This window comes from Homo sapiens, chromosome 14 (assembly GCF_000001405.40).
Source record: "Homo sapiens chromosome 14, GRCh38.p14 Primary Assembly".
NCBI classification, from domain to species: domain Eukaryota; kingdom Metazoa; phylum Chordata; class Mammalia; order Primates; family Hominidae; genus Homo; species Homo sapiens.
Window position 1 is genome coordinate 88,571,372 of NC_000014.9, and position 21,068 is coordinate 88,592,439.

At 39.6% G+C, this 21,068-nt stretch overlaps 1 protein-coding gene across 29 annotated transcripts in view; it reads left to right on the forward strand.

Annotated features, from left to right (window-relative positions):
* Positions 1-21,068, forward strand: part of ZC3H14 (zinc finger CCCH-type containing 14) — a 64,560-nt gene that overhangs the window by 8,335 nt on the left and 35,157 nt on the right. For 26 of the 29 annotated variants that reach the window (NR_136936.2, NM_001326297.2, NM_001326315.2 and 23 more), the window contains 5 exons: positions 659-854; positions 1,207-1,636; positions 3,322-3,482; positions 4,469-4,569; positions 6,614-6,769. Coding sequence is in view for 28 of the 29 variants with exons in the window: in NM_001326297.2 (NP_001313226.1) it covers positions 659-854; positions 1,207-1,636; positions 3,322-3,482; positions 4,469-4,569; positions 6,614-6,769 (1,044 nt within the window). In the remaining variant the exon portion in view is untranslated. Of the gene's footprint in view, positions 1-658; positions 855-1,206; positions 1,637-3,321; positions 3,483-4,468; positions 4,570-6,613; positions 6,770-15,199; positions 15,365-21,068 lie in introns of those variants that run through there. The other 3 variants (NM_001326313.2, NM_001326306.2, XM_011537162.4) reach the window with 2 other exon arrangements.

A 21,068-nucleotide genomic window follows, 5' to 3' on the forward strand; every position in this document is an offset into this window, starting at 1 on the left:
TAGCCTCAAGGATATTTCAGTATTTTATAATTGAAAACAATTTAAAAGTTCAGTCATAATAAACGAAATTGTTGTATTACCATGTGTGGAATAATATTTAACTATTAAAAATAATGTTGTGGAAGAATAACAGAATATACACGCATAAGATACATGTTTTAAAAAATGTGTATATATGCTCTTCCCCCGAAAAATCACCTTTGAGATAATTGGTGATTTTTATTATATTTTTAAAATTTTCTACAATAAACATACTGCTTTTGAATTGGTGATGAGGAAGGAAACGACTTAAAGTAATAAAAATAGATGGCCGGGCACGGTGGCTCACGCCTGTAATCCCAGCATTTTGGGAGGCCAAGGTGGGCGGATCATGGGCTCAGGAGATGGAGACCATCTTGGCCAACCAACATGGTGAATCTCCGTCTCTACTAAAAATACAAAAATTAGCCAGGCATCGTGGCACATGCCTGTAATCCCAGCTACTTGGGAGGCCGGGGCAGGAGAATCGCTTGAACCAGGGATTTGGAGGTTGCAGGGAGCCGAGAACGCGCCACTGCCCTCCAGCCTGGCGACAGAGCGAGACTCCATCTCAAAAATAAATAAATAAATAAAAATAAGAAATAAAAATAGATTAAAAGGACTGTATTTTTCTTTTCAGAACCCTCTAGTCTGAAGTCTTCTGATACCAACATCTTTGATAGTAACGTGCCTTCAAACAAGAGCAATTTCAGTCGGGGAGATGAGAGGAGGCATGAAGCTGCAGTGCCACCACTTGCCATTCCTAGCGCGAGACCTGAAAAAAGAGATTCCAGAGTTTCTACAAGTTCGCAGGAGTCAAAAACCACAAATGTCAGGTAAGAGTCTGGTGTAGACCTGCTGGGGGCAGATGGCTCTGTGTATGTGACATTTATATTAGTTTTTATATCTTTCAGTTTGCTGTTCTCAGCAATTTTTAGAAACAATGAAGTGATCGTGAGTAGTTTTTTGAATAAAATAATGGATAAGATCTAAGTATGATTATCTTTTATCACAAATTTAGTAAATCAAAGTTGAAAGAAAGTGCAATTTCAAAGCAGTTTTGAATGGAATATGTAAAGGGAGTATCCTCAGTTTTTTCATTGAAATTTTTCAAGTAAACATTCTTTAAAGATTTGGTGATAATTGCCCTAATTTGGCTGTAATACATTTTGTTGTTCTTTTAAATAGACAGACTTACGATGATGGAGCTGCAACCCGACTAATGTCAACAGTGAAACCTTTGAGGGAGCCAGCACCCTCTGAAGATGTGATTGATATTAAGCCAGAACCAGATGATCTCATTGACGAAGACCTCAACTTTGTGCAGGAGAATCCCTTATCTCAGAAAAAACCTACAGTGACACTTACATATGGTTCTTCTCGCCCTTCTATTGAAATTTATCGACCACCTGCAAGTAGAAATGCAGATAGTGGTGTTCATTTAAACAGGTTGCAATTTCAACAGCAGCAGAATAGTATTCATGCTGCCAAGCAGCTTGATATGCAGAGTAGTTGGGTATATGAAACAGGACGTTTGTGTGAACCAGAGGTGCTTAACAGCTTAGAAGAAACGTATAGTCCGTTCTTTAGAAACAACTCGGAGAAAATGAGTATGGAGGTTTGTATGTACTTTTAAATTCTGGCTTAGGCTAAAAATCGGCAGTTCTTGATACCAAATAATATATGAAGTAACTAAACACATATTCCAAGGCTGGGCACAGTGGCTCACACCTGTAATCCCAGGACTTTGGGAGGCCGAGGCGGGTGGATCACGAGGTCAGGAGATTGAGACCATCCTGGCTAACACGGTGAAACCCCGTCTCTACTAAAAATACAAAAAATTAGCCAGGCATGGTGGCAGGCGCCTGTAGTCCCAGCTACTCGGGAGGCTGAGGCAGGAGAATGGCGTGAACCTGGGAGGCGGAGCTTGCACTGAGCCAAGATCGTGCCACTGCACTCCAGCCTGGGCAACAGAGCGAGACTCCGTCTCAACCAAAAAAGAAAAAACAAAAAACAAAAAAAACACATATTCCAAATTTATTTTATTTTATTTTACTTTTTGAGAAGGAGTTTCACTCTTGTTGCCCAGGCTGGAGTGTGATGGCGCGATCTCAACTCACTGCAACCTCCACCTCCTGGGTTCAAGCGATTCTCCTGCTTCAGCCTCCCGAGTAGCTGGTATTACCCGCCACCATGCCTGGCTAATTTTTTGTATTTTTAGCAAAGACAGGGTTTCACCGTGTTGGCCAGGCTGGTCTTGAAATCCTGGCCCTGTGATCCACCCACCTTGATCTTGGCTCACTGCAACCTGTGCTTCCCAGGTTCAAGTGATTCTTCTGATTCAGCCTCCTGAATAGCTGGGATTACAGGTGTGTACTACCACGACCAGCTAATTTTTGTATTTTTAGTAGAGATGGTGTTTCACCATGTTGGACCAGGCTGGTCTTGAACTCCTGACCTCAGGTGATCTGCCCTCCTTGGCCTCCCAAAGTGTTGGGATTACAGGCATGTACCATGGCGCCTGGCCCCAAGTTTATTTTTAAATTGTTTTATCTGCTGTTTCTCATGCTATACCAGATTTTCTTCCCCATGGCTTGCTCCTAGAGTTCTTTTGTATCACATCTGTATACCTTTTTGGGATTTCCAGCATTTGAGATATTAATCTTAAATTAATTTGGGGGGTTTCAATCAATTTTAGATTGTTCATGGTAATTGCTAGTGAGCAACCAATTAACTCTGTTTTATTAGTTTCCTCAATAGCACTATATGCAGCTGTTGATAAAATAAATGTAAAGTTCTAATTTTTGTTTTAGCTAAAGGTTGACTGTTAGGGATAATATTTATATTTATAGTATTTATTTATTTATTTATTTTGATACGGTGTCTCACTCTGTCGCCCAGGCTGGAGTGCAGTGGCATGATCTTGGCTCCCTACATCCTCCACCTCCCGGGTTCAAGTGAGTCTTCTGCCTCAGCCTCCCGAGTAGCTCGGACTACAGGCACATGCCGCCACGCTCAGCTAATTTTTGTATTTTTATAGAGACAGGGTTTCACCATATTGGCCAGGCTGGTCTCGAAATCCTGACCTTGTGATCCGCCCACTTCGGCCTTCCAAAGTGCTAGGATTACAGATGTGAGCCACCACACCCAGCCTCATATTTATATTTTTACATAAAACCAAGAAATACTCTGTGAATTTCTCATATTACTGTGTACTGTTTTTTTCTTAAAATGGAAACATTTTGTGGTAGAACTCTTGTTATTTTCTGAGATTAGGTAAGCATAAATTTTATCTGATTGCAGGATGAAAACTTTCGGAAGAGAAAGTTGCCTGTGGTAAGTTCAGTTGTTAAAGTAAAAAAATTCAATCATGATGGAGAAGAGGAGGAAGAAGATGATGATTACGGGTCTCGAACAGGAAGCATCTCCAGCAGTGTGTCTGTGCCTGCAAAGCCTGAAAGGAGGTACCTTGAACATGGCTGTAAATTAATCTTTAACTGCCTTGGTGGAGTCTTCCTGATTTATTGAAGAGAATAATCACGAAAATAATTTTTGTTTGTTTTTTGAGACGGAGTCTCGCTCTGTCAACCAGGCTGGAGTGCAGTGCCACGATCTCGGCTCACTGCAACCTCTGCCTCCCAGGTTCAAGTGATTCTCCTGATTGAGCCTCCTGAATAGCTGGGATTATAGGTGTGCACTACCATGACCAGCTAATTTTTGTATTTTTAGTAGAGATGGTGTTTCACCATGTTGGACCAGGCTGGTCTCGAACTCCTGACCTCAGGTGATCTGCCCTCCTCAGCTTCCCAAAGTGTTGGGATTACAGGCATGAGCCACCGCACCTGACATAAATATTTAATGTAATACCGTGTAAGACTTTTCCATTGGGTTTTGAGAAACACGTTAATGAGAGAAATTGCTTAACATTGGAGAGGATTGCAGAGAATATTGACTAATATGGTGGGGTGAGGAGGAACAACATCAATTAAGATTCAGATTTATTATTTAAAAAAACTAAAAGGGGCCTAGGCATGGTGGCTCATGCCTGTACCTAGCACTTTGGGAGGCTGAGGCAGGAGGATTGCTTGAGACCAGGAGTTCGAGACCAGCCTGGGCGATGTAATGAGTCTTTGTCTCTTAAAAAAAATTAAAATAAATTAGTTGGTCATTGTGGCAGGCACCTGTAGTCCTGGACTGGAGAGGTGGATGTGGAAGCATTGCTTGAGCCTAGAAGTTTAAGGCTGCAGTGACATCACACTCCATCCTGGGTGAGAGAGTAAGAGTCTGTCTAAAAAAAAAAATAAGGTTCCAGTGTAGTTGGCATTTTCTAAAAACTGCAGCTAGTCTGTTTAAAACCTAGAGAAGGTTGTGGTAAAGGCATAATAGATGGCTGGCCTGTGAGGAACTGAAATTTAAAGTTTAATAAAAATACCTTTCTTAACTCTTTTAGACCTTCTCTTCCACCTTCTAAACAAGCTAACAAGAATCTGATTTTGAAGGCTATATCTGAAGCTCAAGAATCCGTAACAAAAACAACTAACTACTCTACAGGTAATTTAAATGTATTATGTTTACACTTGGTAAGACATTTCTGTAATTCTTGAGTAAGGTGAAAATGATTGCTCCTTAAATTGTAAAATAAAGGTGCCTGTCAGATGTCAAGACCAAGATGAGGTTCCCATATAGAAAAATGGCTTTAAAAGGAAATTGACAAGTTTGAGAAACTTCGCCAACTGTTATTGGACTGTAGTTTTTCAAGCACCATATAATGCCTTTTATATCTTTCCAATGTGTGTAAAATATATAGTACGTAAATATTTTGAAGAGAATTTTGATGAAGTAGGACTTTCATATTAGTAGCATTAGATTCAACATTAGATATGAATTTACGATGTGTAAAGGGGAGTACAATTGGACAATGATAGGTATCTGAAGTTATAGAAATTTGTTAAACAGTAGTATATAAACAAGGTTGGTTTCTTCCCTTTTGGCGGAACTCATTAGTAGAATATAAGGCAGAGAATTGACTCATTTGTGATGTTCCTGCTCCAATTCTAGTGGAAGTACTGAATAATTTTATGAGAGAATATAAAAGTATTACGTTTTCAAAACAGGAGATGAATCAGCTGTAAGCTGGTCTTACGGAAAGCTGATTCTGAAATGCAAACAACTGATGGGTGTCATTTTGTGTTGTCAAATTCTGTACTCTCTGGCCGACCTGTTGTAGCCAATGTGTAAACTTGTGTTAAGAAGCTGATGGTAATGAGCTACTCTAAAAAGATTTAAGTTTTGCTGTGGATTTGGTGGGTGTACTTACAGCATTGCCCTGCTTATCCACTCTCTCGCTTTTTTTTGTGACCCCCCTTCCTAAAATGAGGTAAACTGTAGCCATCAGTTTTTTTATTTGTTTTCTTTTTTTGAGGCGAAGTCTTGCTCTGTTGCCCAGGCTGGAGTGCAGTGGTGTGATCTTGGCTTACTGCAATCTCTGCCTCCTGGGTCCAAGCGATTCTCCTGCCTCAGCCTCCCAAGTAGCTGGGATTACAGGCGCCCACTACCATGCCAGGCTAATTTTTTTGTATTTTTAGTAGAGGCGGGGTTCCACCATGTTGGCCAGGCTGGTCTCGTACTCCTGACCTCAGGTGATCACCTGCCTCCTCGGCCTCCCAAAATGCTGGGATTACAAGCGTGAGCCACCGCGCCTGGCACCATCAGTTTTTGATCCTGATACTTGTCTGTCCTCTTGGTTCTCCTCATCCCTAATTTAACCTTGAACACAAAATTCAACAGGTTTTGGCATATAGAATAAAGATTATCAGGCAAAGGCGCACTCTTGACCTAATGATATATCTACATTTCATTTCCTGATCTATCAGCAATATTAATTGTCTAGAATGATGAGAAGTTTAGAGAAGTTCCATGACTTTGAAATTTTCTTTCTTTACCTAGGTTATCTAAATTACAATTTGAAACTCATATAAGATCATGAAGCTAAGCTTAAATAAACCGCATTTTGTTGAAAATGAATACATATGTACTATATTGTATTCATGGTATGTGGTTGTATGGATATTGTTTACATATGTTTGGATAAATAGGTTCAGGTATCTATCTCAGTAACGTAAGAAAAAATGAATGGTATCTATGGATTGAACTCCTCATATATATGTTCTTTTCTTTTCTTTTTCTTTTTTTTTTGGAGACAGAGTCTCACTCTGTTGCCCAGGCTGGAGTGCACAGTGGTGCAATCTCGGCTCACTGCAACCTCCGCCTTCCGGGTTTAAGCAATTCTCCTGCCTCAGCCTCCTGAGTAGTTGGGATTACAGGTGTGTGCCACTATGCCCGGCTAGTGTTTGTATTTTTAGTAGAAACGAGGTTTTACCATGTTGGCCAGGCTGGTCTCAAACTCCTGACCTCAAGTGATCCACCCACCTTGCCTCCCAAAGTGCTGAGATTACAGGCATGAGCCACTGCGCCCAGCCTGAACTCATATGTCCTAAACCAAAGGAGGCATTTATATTTAATATGACATAGTCACTGTGGAGTTTTGACGTATTACTGCATTTGTATTTCTATCTTTTTTGCTTTTATGTGAAAGTTCCACAGAAACAGACACTTCCAGTTGCTCCCAGAACTCGAACTTCTCAAGAAGAATTGCTAGCAGAAGTGGTCCAGGGACAAAGTAGGACCCCCAGAATAAGTCCCCCCATTAAAGAAGAGGAAACAAAAGGAGATTCTGTAGAAAAAAATCAAGGTAATAACTTAAATGATGTTTCACTCTTTACTACAGTTTTTTCATGAGGCATTGAATATTTTCCAATGGATTTTTATGAAATATTACACTATGAAAAAAGTGATGATTAAGCCCAGAAATAGAATGAGAAGAATACCATGAGGAAGGTTCATACCAACACTTCAGAAAAAAATTTTTTTTTTAAAGAGGTAGGGTCTTGCTGTGTTGCCCAGGCAGTCCTCAAACTCCTGGGCTCAAGCAGTCCTCCTGCCTCAGCATCCTTAGTAGCTGGAGGTGTGTACAAGTGTGTGCCACTGCACCCAGCCCTTTCTAGAAATTTTTGAAAGTCTTTTTATTGTGGAAATTTTTAATATTCTCAAAAATGGAAAGGCTAGTACAGTGAACTCTCATGAACCCAGTCATTAAGCCTTAGTTATTATCAGAATTTTGCTGGTCTTTAGATAGCTCCTTCTTAAAGATATATTTATTTCTGCATTCTTTCTTTTTCTCTTTTTGTTGATCCTGCCCGTTTACCTGAACTTGAAATTTTAGTTACCTTTAAATCTCCCGTCTCTTAAGCATCCTGTCTCTGACCTCCCATATGTGTCCCAGCAACCCTAATTTATCCCCTCGTGCCTAACATACTTCAGTTTGCTTCCAGGTTTTTTTTTTTTTTTTTTTTTTTTGCTTTTTTCTCAGCTTTCTCCCCCAATTCCTATACAATCTTTTGACTTTGAAAGTGTGTCTCTCATCTTCTGACTCCTTTGTGAAAGTATCTCTCCCCTCCTCCTCATTACCCAGAACTAACGCTATTAGTTTGGACTTTTGGTGTCTGTTATCTGACCCCTGGGCCTGCACAGCCCTTCTCCATGACTCTTCAGACCTTTTGTCTCTTTTGTCGTCAAGAAGGATTCTTTTTTCTTCTGTTTCTTTTTCTACTAAGATTTGAATTTTAAGACCCCACCAAAAAAATCTATATGCTTATTATGTTATTTCTCACATACTTTTCAAGAACCTTGGAATATATTTTTTCATTTCTTCAAAACTGTCCTTTAAATTGTTCCAGGTTTCATGAAACCTTATGATTTCAGAATTGTCAATTCTGTATTTGTTTCCTCATTGTGTCTCTTTAAAAATTTTTGACTGTATTGTTCAGTTTGCCATGACAGCGTTATATACTATTCTGATAATTGATAGGCCTGAGGACAAGACCTGTTTGGTCCCCAAACAGCAGATAGGTACCAATTGGAAAATGTGAATGGGCCAAATTGAGAAGAGGAGCTGAAACTGAGGAGGGATTTTGCTCAGTGCAGTGGCAGATGAGGCTGATCTAAAAGGACTGCAGTGGTCTACTCCCTGTGGAGTCTGTAGTGTGTTGCACCAAGGTTTTCTTCAAACACAGGACTCTACGTGAGAGTCTTGGAGTGGAATCAGATGGAGCAGGGAAACAGACAATAGAGAAAAGGAAAGAATGTCAGATAAAAATAGGAGAGGAAAACAATAGGAAATCTCAAAGCAAGGTGCCATATTTTTTAACATCACAAAATCAACAGAAGAAGGTTGTTGATTCTGAAGTTAGAATAGCTATCCAAAGCAAACTTTCCCCTAAAATGAACAACAGAAAAGTATCAAGGTCAAGTCCTGTGCCGAATTAAAAGATAAAAGGGAATAAAAGACAAAACAGCATTGTTTCAATGAAAGCATGCTGAAAGGTATACCAAAAAGAAATACAATTTCAAAGTGAGCTAGAAGACATTATTTAAATAATACAAGACAAAGCCAAGAAAAACATAAAACAGAAGAACTTTGAGGCTGGGTGCAGTGGCTCATGCCTGTAATCCCAACACTTTGGGAGGCTGAGGCAGGAGGATCACTTGAGACTAGCCTGGGCAGCATAGCAAAACCCTGTCTCGACAAAAAATAAAAATATTAGCTGGGCAAGGTATACACCTGTAGTCCTGTCTCCTTGGGAGGCTGAAGTGGGAGGATTGCTGGAGCCCGGGAGGCTGAGGTGGGAGGATTGCTGGAGCCCAGGAGGCTGAGGTTGCAGTGAGCCACGATCATACCATTGCCCTCCAGGGAGGCTGAGGTGGGAGGATTGCTGGAGCCCAGGAGGCTGAGGTTGCAGTGAGCCATGATCATGCCATTGCCATCTAGTTTGGGCGATAGAGTGAGACTGTGTCTCAAAATAAATGAAGACTAAATTAGAAAGAACTCGAAAGAATTAGTGCGTCTTAATAAAATAAAACATGCGTGTAATCCCAGCAATTTGGGAGGCCAAGGCGGGAGGATCACTTGAGGCCAGGAGTTGAAGATCAGCCAGGGCAACATAGCAAAACCTTATGGCTACAGAAAACAGCAATTTAAAAATAAATAAAATTAAAACATCTTCAGAGAAATTGAAGATAAAAGACAAGAACATTTTAAAAGTCTAAAAGGGCTCATGAGAAAGTGGCAAATATTGATAATAGGCAATAGAAATACAGTGTTTTTATAGTAGGAATCTCCAAAGAAACAATATTCAGAGGAACAGAGCAAACATTAACTGTCTTTCAAGAAAACTTTCATGAAGTGAAAACATGTTTGAAACTGTTGTCTGAAAAATTGTACAGTATACCTGAGAATATTTACCCAGAACCATAACACTAAGATGTATTATATAATTAATGAAATTTTAAAAAGAAAAAAAATGATTTGGACATTCAGGCAAAAGGGGCACATGACTTAGAAGAAAAGGAAAGGTAGATTATCATCAAACTTTTCAACAGCATCACTTTTGTGCTGGAAGAAAATGGACTAGCATATTTAAGATACTCCAGAAAAGAAAATGTGAGCCAAGAATTTAATGTCCAGCAAAAGTGACCTTTAGAAGTGATCCAGCACCAACTGTTATCTATATGCAGAAATTCAGAGACTCATTCCCATGAACTTTTCTTAGGAAATCTAATGGAGGATGAGCTTCAGACAAGTAAAAGCCTGTTGTCCTGAATTTACATTGGAAATGTTTCGGAACTCACAGTGTATTTTATATATAAATACATTTTTTTCTAGTTCTGTCTACTAGAAGGCATAGAAACATTCATCAACCCTTAGCATCATCTGTAGTTCCCAGATTGTGGTCTTGGAATACTTCCTATTTAAAAAACTAGGCTTCTTGGGCTGGGTGCAGTTGCTCACGCCTGTAATCCCAGCACTTTGGGAAGCCGAGGTGGGCAGATCACCTGAGGTCAGGAGTTCAAAAGCAGCCTGGCCAGTGTGGTGAAACCCCATCTCTACTAAAAATACAAAAAAATTAGCTGGGTGTTGTGGTGTGCGCCTGTAGTCCTAGCTACTCGGGAGGCTGAGCCAGGAGAATCGCTTGGATCCGGGAGGCGGAGGTTGCAGTGAGCCAAGATTGTGCCACCGTACTCCAGCCTGGGCAACAGAGTGAGATTCCGTCTCAAGAAAAAATAAAAATAAAAAAACAAAGAACTAGGCTTCTTGAGAAATGTCTTTTTCCAGGTCTGGGGCAGGAAATGTTAACATGATCCTGGAATGGCTCAACATCCCAGATAGCAAAGAAGCTGTCAATGAATGGTAGACCACGTCCAAAGGATGCAGGCGCCAACTTAGAGGTTTCCATTGGCCAAAAATGGAATTATTTGAGATTCAGTAGGTGTAAATATCGCGGTGAATTAAAGCCCATTTAAATCCACAATTTCATAATGACATTTTAAAAAAATAAGCTCTAACTAGTCACCTTCTGGAAGGTAGTAGATAATCATTCATTGTCTTGAAAACTGGGTAAATAAAATAATTGAACATTTATGCTGTCTTTTCTGTGAGAACGATACCACTGGGTAACCCCATAGGACAGGAGTTGGCATCTGTTGGAACCAAACCGTGCCTATTCATGTATGTATTGTCCGTGGCTACTTTCATACTACAGCCTTAGTTGAATAGTTGCAACAGACCATATAGCTTGCATAGCCTAAAATAGCCTAAAAGATTTGCCAACCTCTGATATAGTAGATGAGAGAAACATTTTCTTTTAAAATGATTTCAGCTGATAAGAGAACAAGATGGTAGGATTAGAGTTATGCTTTTAAGAGTGAAAACCAGTTGTTTTGTGCCTCTTGATACAAAAGAACAGAACTTTTGTCTTGCCAAAAATGTAAACCTAAGTCATCAAGCTCCCAGTCCAGCAGTCAGTTTGCAAGAAGTTGCAGAGGCCAGAGGAGTATGTTGGTTGAGCTTCACCATGAGTGTGCAGCCGGAAAAATAGTGTTTGGGACACTGTGGGTTGAATAGCCTGAGAAATTGAGATTAAAAGGCAAATCAAAGGAAAATAAAAGGAGCAGGATTAAATTGTAGTGGCTAGGGATACCCAGTGTGTGTGAAATTATAAAGAACCTCTAGGCGTTAATATAAAAAGCACATAGTGGTTGCTTTTGAAGAGGACCGATAAAGATGGAGCACACAGAGAGGCTTCTGGGGTGGCAGATGACGTTCTCTCTTTTGACTTGGATGGTAGTCAGAAGGGTGTTTTGCCTTACAAAAATTCATTAAGCTATATGTTTGTGTGGTTTTCTATACTGTGTTTTAAAAGGGGATAATTGAAATGGTGTCAGGTACCTTTGCTGATGAGGAGTTTGGTATTACTAGATATATTCACAAGTGTGAAGTGATACTGCAAGCAACTGTTATCTGTTAATGTGGTTACTCACTGTTGTACGGTATAATCTGGGGCAGGTTTTTAAAATATAAACATGCACTCGTATTGGCATAAGTTGTTAATTTTTTTTCTTCTTTTGTTTGAGCAGATAGCATTCTCTCATTTCTCTGGTGTCTTTATTTTTACTAGCGCACCCACCTCATAATATGTGTACTTTTTGCTTTTTGTCTTGCCATCAGTCTGTCACTAGAAGTTTATTTTGCCGATCTTTTCAAAGACTTAACAACATTATTCTGGCTTTATTGATTTTTTTTTTTTTTTGGTGTTTTTGTTTTCTATTTCATTGACTTGTGCTTTTTTTTTATTTTTTTTTTTTAAGAGGCGAGGTCTCACTGTCACCTAGGCTAGAGTACAGTGGCACAATTGTAGCTCACTGCAACCTCAAATGCCTGGGCTCAAATGATCCTCCCACCTCAGGGACCATAGGCACACGCCACCACGCCCAGCTAATGTTTAAGTTTTTTTGTAAAGATGGAGTCTCACTATGTTGCCCAGGCTGGTCTGGAACTCCTGAGCTCAAGCAGCCCTCTTGCCTCAGCCTCCCAAAGTGCTAGGTTTACAGGTGTGAGCCACTGCACCTGGCCCGACTTCTCTTTTAATTTATCCTTCCATATTTTAAAAATTATTTACCTCAGGCTGTCTTCTTCTCAAATGTAAGCATTTGAGAAGAATACATATGACAGGTTTTAATTCATCATGTTTTCATTATCAGAGTGTCTTTAATTTCCATTATAATTTTCATCATTGAAAGTGTGTTTTCTATACAGTATTTGGAAGTGGTATGTGTTTTTGTCTTTTAATCCTTTTTATTATAGACACCTGACTTAATTGCATTGTGGTTAGATAATGTAATTTTTACAATGCATAGTTTTTGAAAATTGTTAACACTTGCTTAGTGCATAATCAAGTTTATGCATCTTCCACATGCATTTTGGAAGAAAGTGGACTAATTATTGGATGGGGAATTTTACATTTATTCAGTAGATAAAGCTCTACTGTTAACATTATTCAAATCTTGACCTTGCTGAGTTTTTGTGCTGCTTGACTTACCACTTGAGAAAGGGTGTTGAAATTGCCCAACATGATGACAGATTTATCTTAATTTCTCTTGTACTTATATCAAGTTTTTGCTTTATTTTTAGGCTGTTATATACTATTAGGTGCATACATATTTAAATTTGTTATATCTTCTCTGCAAATTGAATCCCTTATCTTGATTTATGACCCTCTGCAAAAAAGATGTTTTTATCTCAAAGTCAGTTTTGCCTGATATTAATATAGCCATTTAATTATATTTGCTTTATATATCTGGTTTCCCTGCCTTTGTTTTCAGTTTTCTCTCTCATGCTTTAGGTATATACAGTTGACCCTTGAACCAGACAAGTTTGAACTGTGTGGGTCCACTCATACACTTATATGTGGATTTTTGAAAATAAATATATTGGAAATATTTTTTGAGATGTGGCAATTTGAAAAAACTTGTAGATAAACTATATAGCCTAGAAATAGTGACAAAATTAAGAAAAATTTAGGTATGTCATGAACACATAAAATATATGTAGCTACTAGACTAACATTTACTATCTTAAAACATACACATCTATTATGAAGTTTAATTTATCAAAATATATGCACACAAACACAGACTTTACATGATACCGCTTGTAGTTGAGAGAAATGTAAGCAAACATAAAGATGCAGTAATAGCTACATAAGATTTACTATAGTACATACTGTACTACTGTAATAATTTTGTAGTTACCTCCTGTTGCTTTATGGTAAGCTAAGGTGTTTTGAGTGTCCACTTAAAATGCTGTGTGATGCAACCATCTCTGCGACAGTTCAGCTCTCCAGTAAATTGTGAATTGCAGTGAAAGGTGATCTCGCAGTTCTTGCATATTTTTCATCATGTTTAGTGCAATACTGTAAACCTTGAATAACACCAGGGGACCCATAATGTGCTACTGGTGATGCTGGACATGCTCCCAAGAAGTAGAGAAAAGTCATGACATTACAAGAAACCATTGCTCAGTATGTACCAAAGATACATGTTACAACTGTGGCTGCAGTTATTCACCATTTCTGGATAAATGAATTTAACATAAGAACCATGGTTAAAAAAAAAAGAAAAAGAAAAAAATGTATGAAGCTGCCACTGCAGCTACGTTGGCAACAGTAAGTAGTTAAATGTTTGGGAAGTCAAAAGTTGTATGTGGGTTTTCAACTGTTGTTGGGGGATTGGTTCCCTTAGCCCTCATATTGTTTAAGGGTCAACTATATATTATATCTTAAATATTATAAAGCTGGATTTTGTTTTTTAATCTCATCTGAGTTTGCCTTTTATTGGAGAGTTTAGACCAGTCACATTTATTACAATTACTGGTATAGTTGGATTACTTTCTGTCATCATTGCTGATTTGCATTTGCCTGCTTTTCTGTTTTTTCTCATGTTTTTTAAGGTTCATTAATTACTGTTATTGTTGACAACCCTAACCCTGGTTCTACAATTTTAAACTAGTTTACTGTTTAAACCTTCCCTTTCTGTTCTTTTTTTTTTTTTTTGAGACGGAGTCTCACTTTGTTGCCAGGCTGGAGTGTAGTAGCGCGATCTCGGCTCACCGCAACCTCCGACTCCTTGGTTCAAGTGATTCTCCTGCCTCAGCCTCCCAAGTAGCTGGGATTATAGACGCCCACCACTACGCCCAGCTAATTTTTGTATTTTTAATAGAGACGAGGTTTCACCATATTGGCCAGGATGGTCTCAATCTCTTGATCTCTGATCCCCTGACCTTGTTATCTGCCCGCTTCAGCCTCCCAAAGTGTTGGGATTATAGGTGTGAGCCACCATGCTTGGCCTCATTTCTGTTCTTTTAGTCGTTACCAGTGAAATTTTACCACACAAATTTAATTTAGTATTCTAAAAGTTAATATCCTGACCCCACTCTCAAACAGTAAAAGGACTTTTGAATACCTATGAAGAGCTTCAGTCTTTATCCTCCTCATTTACTTGTTTCCAGTGTTTCAATTTGATCTTTTTTAAAATGCACAAGTTGGGCCGGGTGCGGTGGCTCATGCCTGTAATCCCAGCACTTTGGGAGGCTGAGGCGGGTGGATCACCTGAGGTCAGGAGTTCGAGACCAGCCTGACCATATGGTGAAACCCTGTCTCTACTAAAAATAGAAAAATTAGCCAGGCATGGTGGCACACACCTGTAGTCCCAGCTACTCAGGAGGCTGAGGCAGAAGAATCGCTTGAACCCAGGAGGCAGAGGTTGCAGTGGGCTGAGATTGCGCCGCTGCACTCCAGCCTGAGCGACAAAGCGACACTCCTTATCAAAAAAAATAAGTAAAATAAAATACACAAGTTGGACAACATTTTTGTAATTTTTTCCAGGCAATGTTTTTTGAGGTTTACCTCCTGTTTATCATTTTACTTATTCTTAACATCTCTGAGTGTTATTTGGGGATCATTATTTTCCAATATTTTGAAGTATTTTTGAAGTATTTTTTTGGAAGTTTCACTGAAACATGTCTGTTGGCAATATATTTTCCAAGAGTCTATTCACCTGTGAGTGTTTTCTTTCTTTGTGTTCTTGTGCAGTAGTTTTGCTGGATACCCAAATCTAGGTTGTTAGTTATTTGCTCTCCACACCTTATATATATTATTATCCCACTGTCTTCTGCTTTCCATTGTTGAGTGGACTTCTATCATTCTAATTGTCTGTCGTTCCTTTGTAGGTGATCTGTCCTTTCTCTCTGGCTGCTTTCAAGATCTTCTCTTTGTGTTTGATGTTCTGCAGTTTCACTACGATGTGTCTAGGCGTGGATTTCCTTTTATTTTTCCTGTTTGGTATAATGTATGGAAGCATCCCATATATTTGAAATAAAATGCATTATGAAATACATGCTCACCATAGAAAATCTGGAAAAAGAAAGCATATCAATGTAATATCTCCTGATAGATGAGAAAATAATCAAATAGTATAAAAAAGATTAAAAATAAAAAGCAACATTCCTTACTTCATTCTTCTCTATACTAGTCCCACTCCGCAGAATCCCCCACTTTTAAATGCTTCTGTTTCTTTCTCCGTGTTGTAATAATATGCTTTATACTGTTTCTTCATTGACCAACTAGATAGTACCTGTTGATTTCTTGCTGTATGTCAGGTTCTAGCCCATTTATACTTTTCCCTTGCTTCCAAGCTCATACAGCAAAATCAATTTTTAATTCATTTATTGGTTACTTTAGTAATTTTAAGTAGTAACTTAAATATTTCTTGTCTGGTTATATTTCAGTATATTTTGACTTCTGAAAGATATGTATCCTTCAATTCCTTTTTTTTTTTGGAGGTAGAGTCTCACTTTTGTCACCCAGGCTGGAGTGCAGTGGCGTAATCCTGGCTCACTGCAACCTCTGCCTCCTGGGTTTAAGTGATTCTCCTGCCTCAGCCTCCTTAGTAGCTTGGGACTACAGGCACACCCTGCCACACCTGGAATTTTTAATAAAATTTTTAGTAGAGACAGGGTCTCACCATCATGCCCAGGCTGGTCTCAAACTCCTGAGCTCAGGCAGTCTGCCCACCTTGTCCTCCCAAAGTGCTGGGATTACAGGCATAAGCCACCATGCCAGGCCTCTCTTTCAAGTCTTATATTTTCTTTCTTGCCGCCACCTACATTCTGTCCTGCCTCCACCTTCTAAATTGTCACCTGTTCTTTTATATTGTCAAAGCTGATCAAATTTACATTTTGTTCCCTACTTTAGTTAAGACTTAGTCGATTGACTCTAAGTTGAGAAACAGTAAGCATTTACACTGTTAAGACTATTTAGTCTGGGCATGGTTGGTGGCTCACACCTGTAATCCCAGCACTTTAGGAGGCTGAGGTGGGAGATTTGCTTGAGCCTAGGAATTTGAGGCCAGCGTGGGCAACATAGCGAGACCCTCATCTATATATATATTTTAATGTTTTTTAATTAGCTGGGTGTGATGATGTGCACCTATAGTCATGGCTACTCTGGAGAATTGCTTGAGCCCAGGAGTTCGAGGTTACAGTGAGCTGTGATTGTGCCAGCCTGGGTGACAGACCAAGACCCTGTCTCTAAAAATAAAAAAAAAATTTTAAAGACTATATAAATATTACAAGGCCAAATTTACATTCTGTTTCTTGTACAGTTTTGTGTGGGAACTCTCTAGAGTTTTTTTAATTTTTCCCCCTTTTTTGTTTCCCTTAGGTTCTTCTTTTTTCCCTTCTTTCATTGCCTACCTGTACTGTAGCCTAAAAGTCTTATCACTCTGTGCTTTGAAATCTTTGGGTTTCCCACTTTTTCTTAGGTACCTTCCTCCTGGAGCCTCTCTCCTCCTTTTCTGACCTCACTGCTTGCTCTAGGCCTGCTCAAGGCCATCATCCCGAGGCGCCCTCCTCCCCTGAGTCGGCTCTGCAATTCCTGAATTCCATTTTGTCTTCTCAGTGCATTTCTCCGTTTTGTAATCACGTCACAAAGAAACTCCTTAAGAAAGTATAGAAGGTAAATTTTCTGAGTTCTTGGAAATCTGAAGCTATCCTTGTACTTGTTTGATACTTTGACTAGGTACAGAATTATAGGTTGAAGTCATTTTCTTCAGAACTTTGAAGGCATAGTTTCATTATCTTGAGGCTTCAGTGTTGATGCTGAGAACTTGGTTGCCCATCTTATTCCATTGTGTAATACCTGGGATTTTTTTCTCCGGGAACTTTTTTTTTTCTATGTTCCTGGTGTCTGAAATTTCACTGTGGTATGTCTAGATGCTAGTTAGGTACATTAGGTACCCTTTTAATTTGAAAATTCATTCTCTTCCGTGTGGGAAATACTCTTGCATTATTTGTTTTAAAATTTGCTGTCCTTGTTTTCATTGTTCTCTGGTGGAAATTCTGTTAGTTGGATGATAAGCCCTTACTTTAATCTGTCAGTTGTATATTTTTTCTCTCTTGATTTTTGACTTGATCTTGTTGGTCTACTCTTGAATACTTGCTTGACTTGATCTTTAGTCTCCTTACTGAACATTTTAAAAATGTAGGCAAGCATATTTTTTAATTTCCACAAACTTTTTCTTGTTCTATTTTTCATAGTATCTTACTTTGTGGATACAGAATCATCTCAACTGTCTGAAGATCCTAATTAAAGGGATTTTTTTTTTCTTTTCAAGGAATTCACTCTTGTCTTCTAATTAATGGAGTCAGAGTCAGATTTTATGCTTTTTTTCTTGCTCTTTCGATTATGGAATTTTTTTCAAAAACATCTGCAGATAGTGGTTCCTAGTTTAAGGAAAGGTAGTGCAGAGGCTTACCTAGAATTGTGCTGTGGGCTGAGCTTTTCTGCAGGCAGGTTTAGCTTTCAATGAAGCAGACAAGGAGCTGCAATTGGCCTTGCAGTTGTAGAGGAATTTCTTGGGGGAGCAGGTTGGTATGCTTACACTCCTACTGGTTGTCTATTAAAAATATTAAAATTTTGTCTTTTAAATGTCTGTCTCTGGCAGTACCATTCACAAGCCTTCTTCTCTGCCTTACATCCTTCTTGGTTTTTACTCATTGCTGCAATCTCTCACAGTTGGATGGCCCTTTGTTTCATCCAAATTCAAGGCTTGATATATCATCTCTGCACTGTGACTCTCACATTTTTATATCTCCAGCCTGGACCTTGCCCTGAATTCCTCATTTCTGTCCAACCACTTTATATTTCTTCTTGGAGGTGTAATAAATCATTTCAAACTTGTCCAAAGCTCAACTATGAATTTTCCTCTCCTGTCTGTTCTTCCTGTAGTCTTCCTCATTTTAGTTTATTGGTGACTTCACCTTTCCAGTTTCTGAGACAGAATCCTGTTGCCATTCTTTTTTTCTCTCCTTCTCCTTTCCTTCCTCTTCCCTCTCTACCTCTGTCTCCCTCCTTCCCTTGTTCCACCTGTCAGCCTCTACCTCCAGATTTATAGAATTCACTACCGTTTATCACTTCTGCCTCTACCACCCATCAAAGTCACTGTCTGGCCGGGTGCGGTGGCTCATGCCTGTAATCCCAGCACTTTGGGAGGCCGAGGCGGGTGGATCATATGAGGCTAGGAGTTCGAGACCTGCCTGGCCGGCATAGTGAAACCCCGTCTCTACTAAAAATACAAATATTAGCTGGGCATGATGGCACATGCCTGTAGTCCCAGCTACTCAGGAGGCTGAGGTACGAGAATTGGTTGAACCTGGGAGGCGGAGGTTACGGTGAGCCGAGATCATGCCACTGCACTCTAGCCTTGGTGACACAGTGACACTCTGTCTCCAAAAAAAAAAAGGCAAAAAAAAGTCACCGTCTGTGATTTGCCTTGGTTACTTGATTATTGGAATAGTGTGTTCTTACAAGGTGTGCCTGCTTTCAAACTTGCCTTCCTTCAGTCCATCCCACACAGCAGCAGCAGTGATCCTTTACACTGTAAATTAGATCATGCTACTTTGCAGCTTAGAACCCCCCAGGGGCTCCCTGTCACACTGTAAGTCACAGTGTTCTGCCTTCTCATCACCCACCTGCCTCCCTCTGCTCTGGCTCCCCGTGCTTGCTGCTGCTCCTGCACACTGGCCTGCTTGTCCTTCAGGACGTTGGAAGAGCTGCGCGTCTCAGATGCTTTTGCCCTCTCCTGAGAATGTTTACTTTGGATGTTCTCATATCTCATCCATGTGTCATCTTTGAGGCCTTCTCTGGCCCCATCCCCACACTCCCTCTTTTCTGAAGCTTTATTTTTCCCCATAACGTTTGTCACCATCAAATACATATTTTATGTTTTTGTAGTTTAGGTATTTTTATCCGAACGTAGGTCTTTATGTTTTAACGTGAATTGTTTTCTTTTAGCATGTATTTTTTTGGGGGTCTTGAGAGCTACCTCCTTCCCCGTCTCAACAGAGTCTGTCCTTTTTGAGCAGGGATTTATGTGTTTGTTCTGTATGGCTGTTACTGAGTGCCCAGAGCAGTGTCTGGCATATAGTAGCAGGAGCTCAGTCAGTGTTTGTTGTCTGAGTAAATGTCACTCCTGCCTTGCATCTAACCTGCAGTTTTCACAGGGGCTCATTTGTGGTTTTGCCTGCTGTGCCTTACAGCCAGTATTTGTCCATATATTTTCTATTACCCAGAGATTGTTGACATCTCATCTGCTGCACCTTGTAACCCCCATCTCTAAACCAGTGATCTCCATCATATTTTTGACCTGAAAATTTTTGTACAGTAGCCATTTTTAAGTATGTATACCAATATATGTATTTTACTTACGTACACATGCTGTATTGATATGAATATTAGAAAACATAAGAATAGAAATCTGCCGGGCTTGGTGGCTCACGCCTGTAATCCCAGCAATTTGAGAGGCTGAGACGGGCAGATCATTAGGTCAGGAGTTCGAGACCAGCCTGGCCAACATGGTGAACCGCCGTCTCTACTAAAAATACAAAAATTAGCCGGGTGTGGTGATGGGTGCCTGTAATCCCAGCTACTTGGGAAGCTGAGGCAGGAGAATTGCTTGAACCTGGGAGGCGGAGGTTGCAGTGAGCCAAGATTGCGCCACTCCACTGTAGCCTGAGCGACAGGGTGAGACTCCATCTCGGAAAATAAAATAAAAAAAGAACAGAAACCCAAAGATCATAGGGTAGAGATGTAGATATTAAGTTCTTTAATTCACTTTTATGGACTCTTCAGAAGGAGAGATTATAATTGTATATGCTTGATACATTGTGTTGGACTGGAAGCACTGTGAAAGATTCTTAGTCAAGGGGAGATTTTACATTCAAAGAAAATGGAAAATCCCCCTGCTTTGCTCGGAGGGAAGAACTGCACTTAAAAGTTTGATGTGTATTGGTGTCGTCTTCTAGGCATTTCTTATATCTGTGAACATGTGCACCCTTTGTATATAAAGTGGAATTACATGTTTACTTACGCACACACACACATGTACATATAAAGCAGGAATTATACTACCCAGAGTTCTCTGTGACATTTTTGTTCCACTTAATGTATCATGGGAGAGTCCTTGAGTGTGGACCTAGGAGCCAGACTACCGAAGGTGCAGACCCTGCAGTTTACTAGTTGATTTAACCTTTCTGTACCCTAGTTTCCTAATCTATAAATGAAGAATAACGGTAGCATTTACTTCAGAGTTCTTGGTAGGAGTAAATGTTAAAATACATAAGCTTTCTCTGCTGATGAATATTTACACTGGAGTCTTAGGAAGGGTCCTTGCTTATTTTCTATTCTAAAGTTGGGCTGGACATAGTGGGCCATATGGGTGCCATCAGATGGGCTCTTGTTTCTCTGTGACCCGTTCTGTTAGACCTCTTTCCTGCTTTTTTCCTTGAGGTTGTTTATCTGTCCTCTAGTGAACCAGCTGGTTTGCAGGTGGTGCTTTTCTGAGAGTGTCTTGCTGTTAACAGTTACTATGGATGTCATATGCCAGCTGGTTCTGTTAAAAAAAAGTCTGTGAATCCAAAGCCTTGAATTTTGAACATTATTTTCTGTCTGGAATTTTGAAGAACTGATTCATAAAGTGGAGAAATGAATAAAGATTTTTATTTTACAAATTCCAGCACTTAGCATTTTCTTTATTCTGTT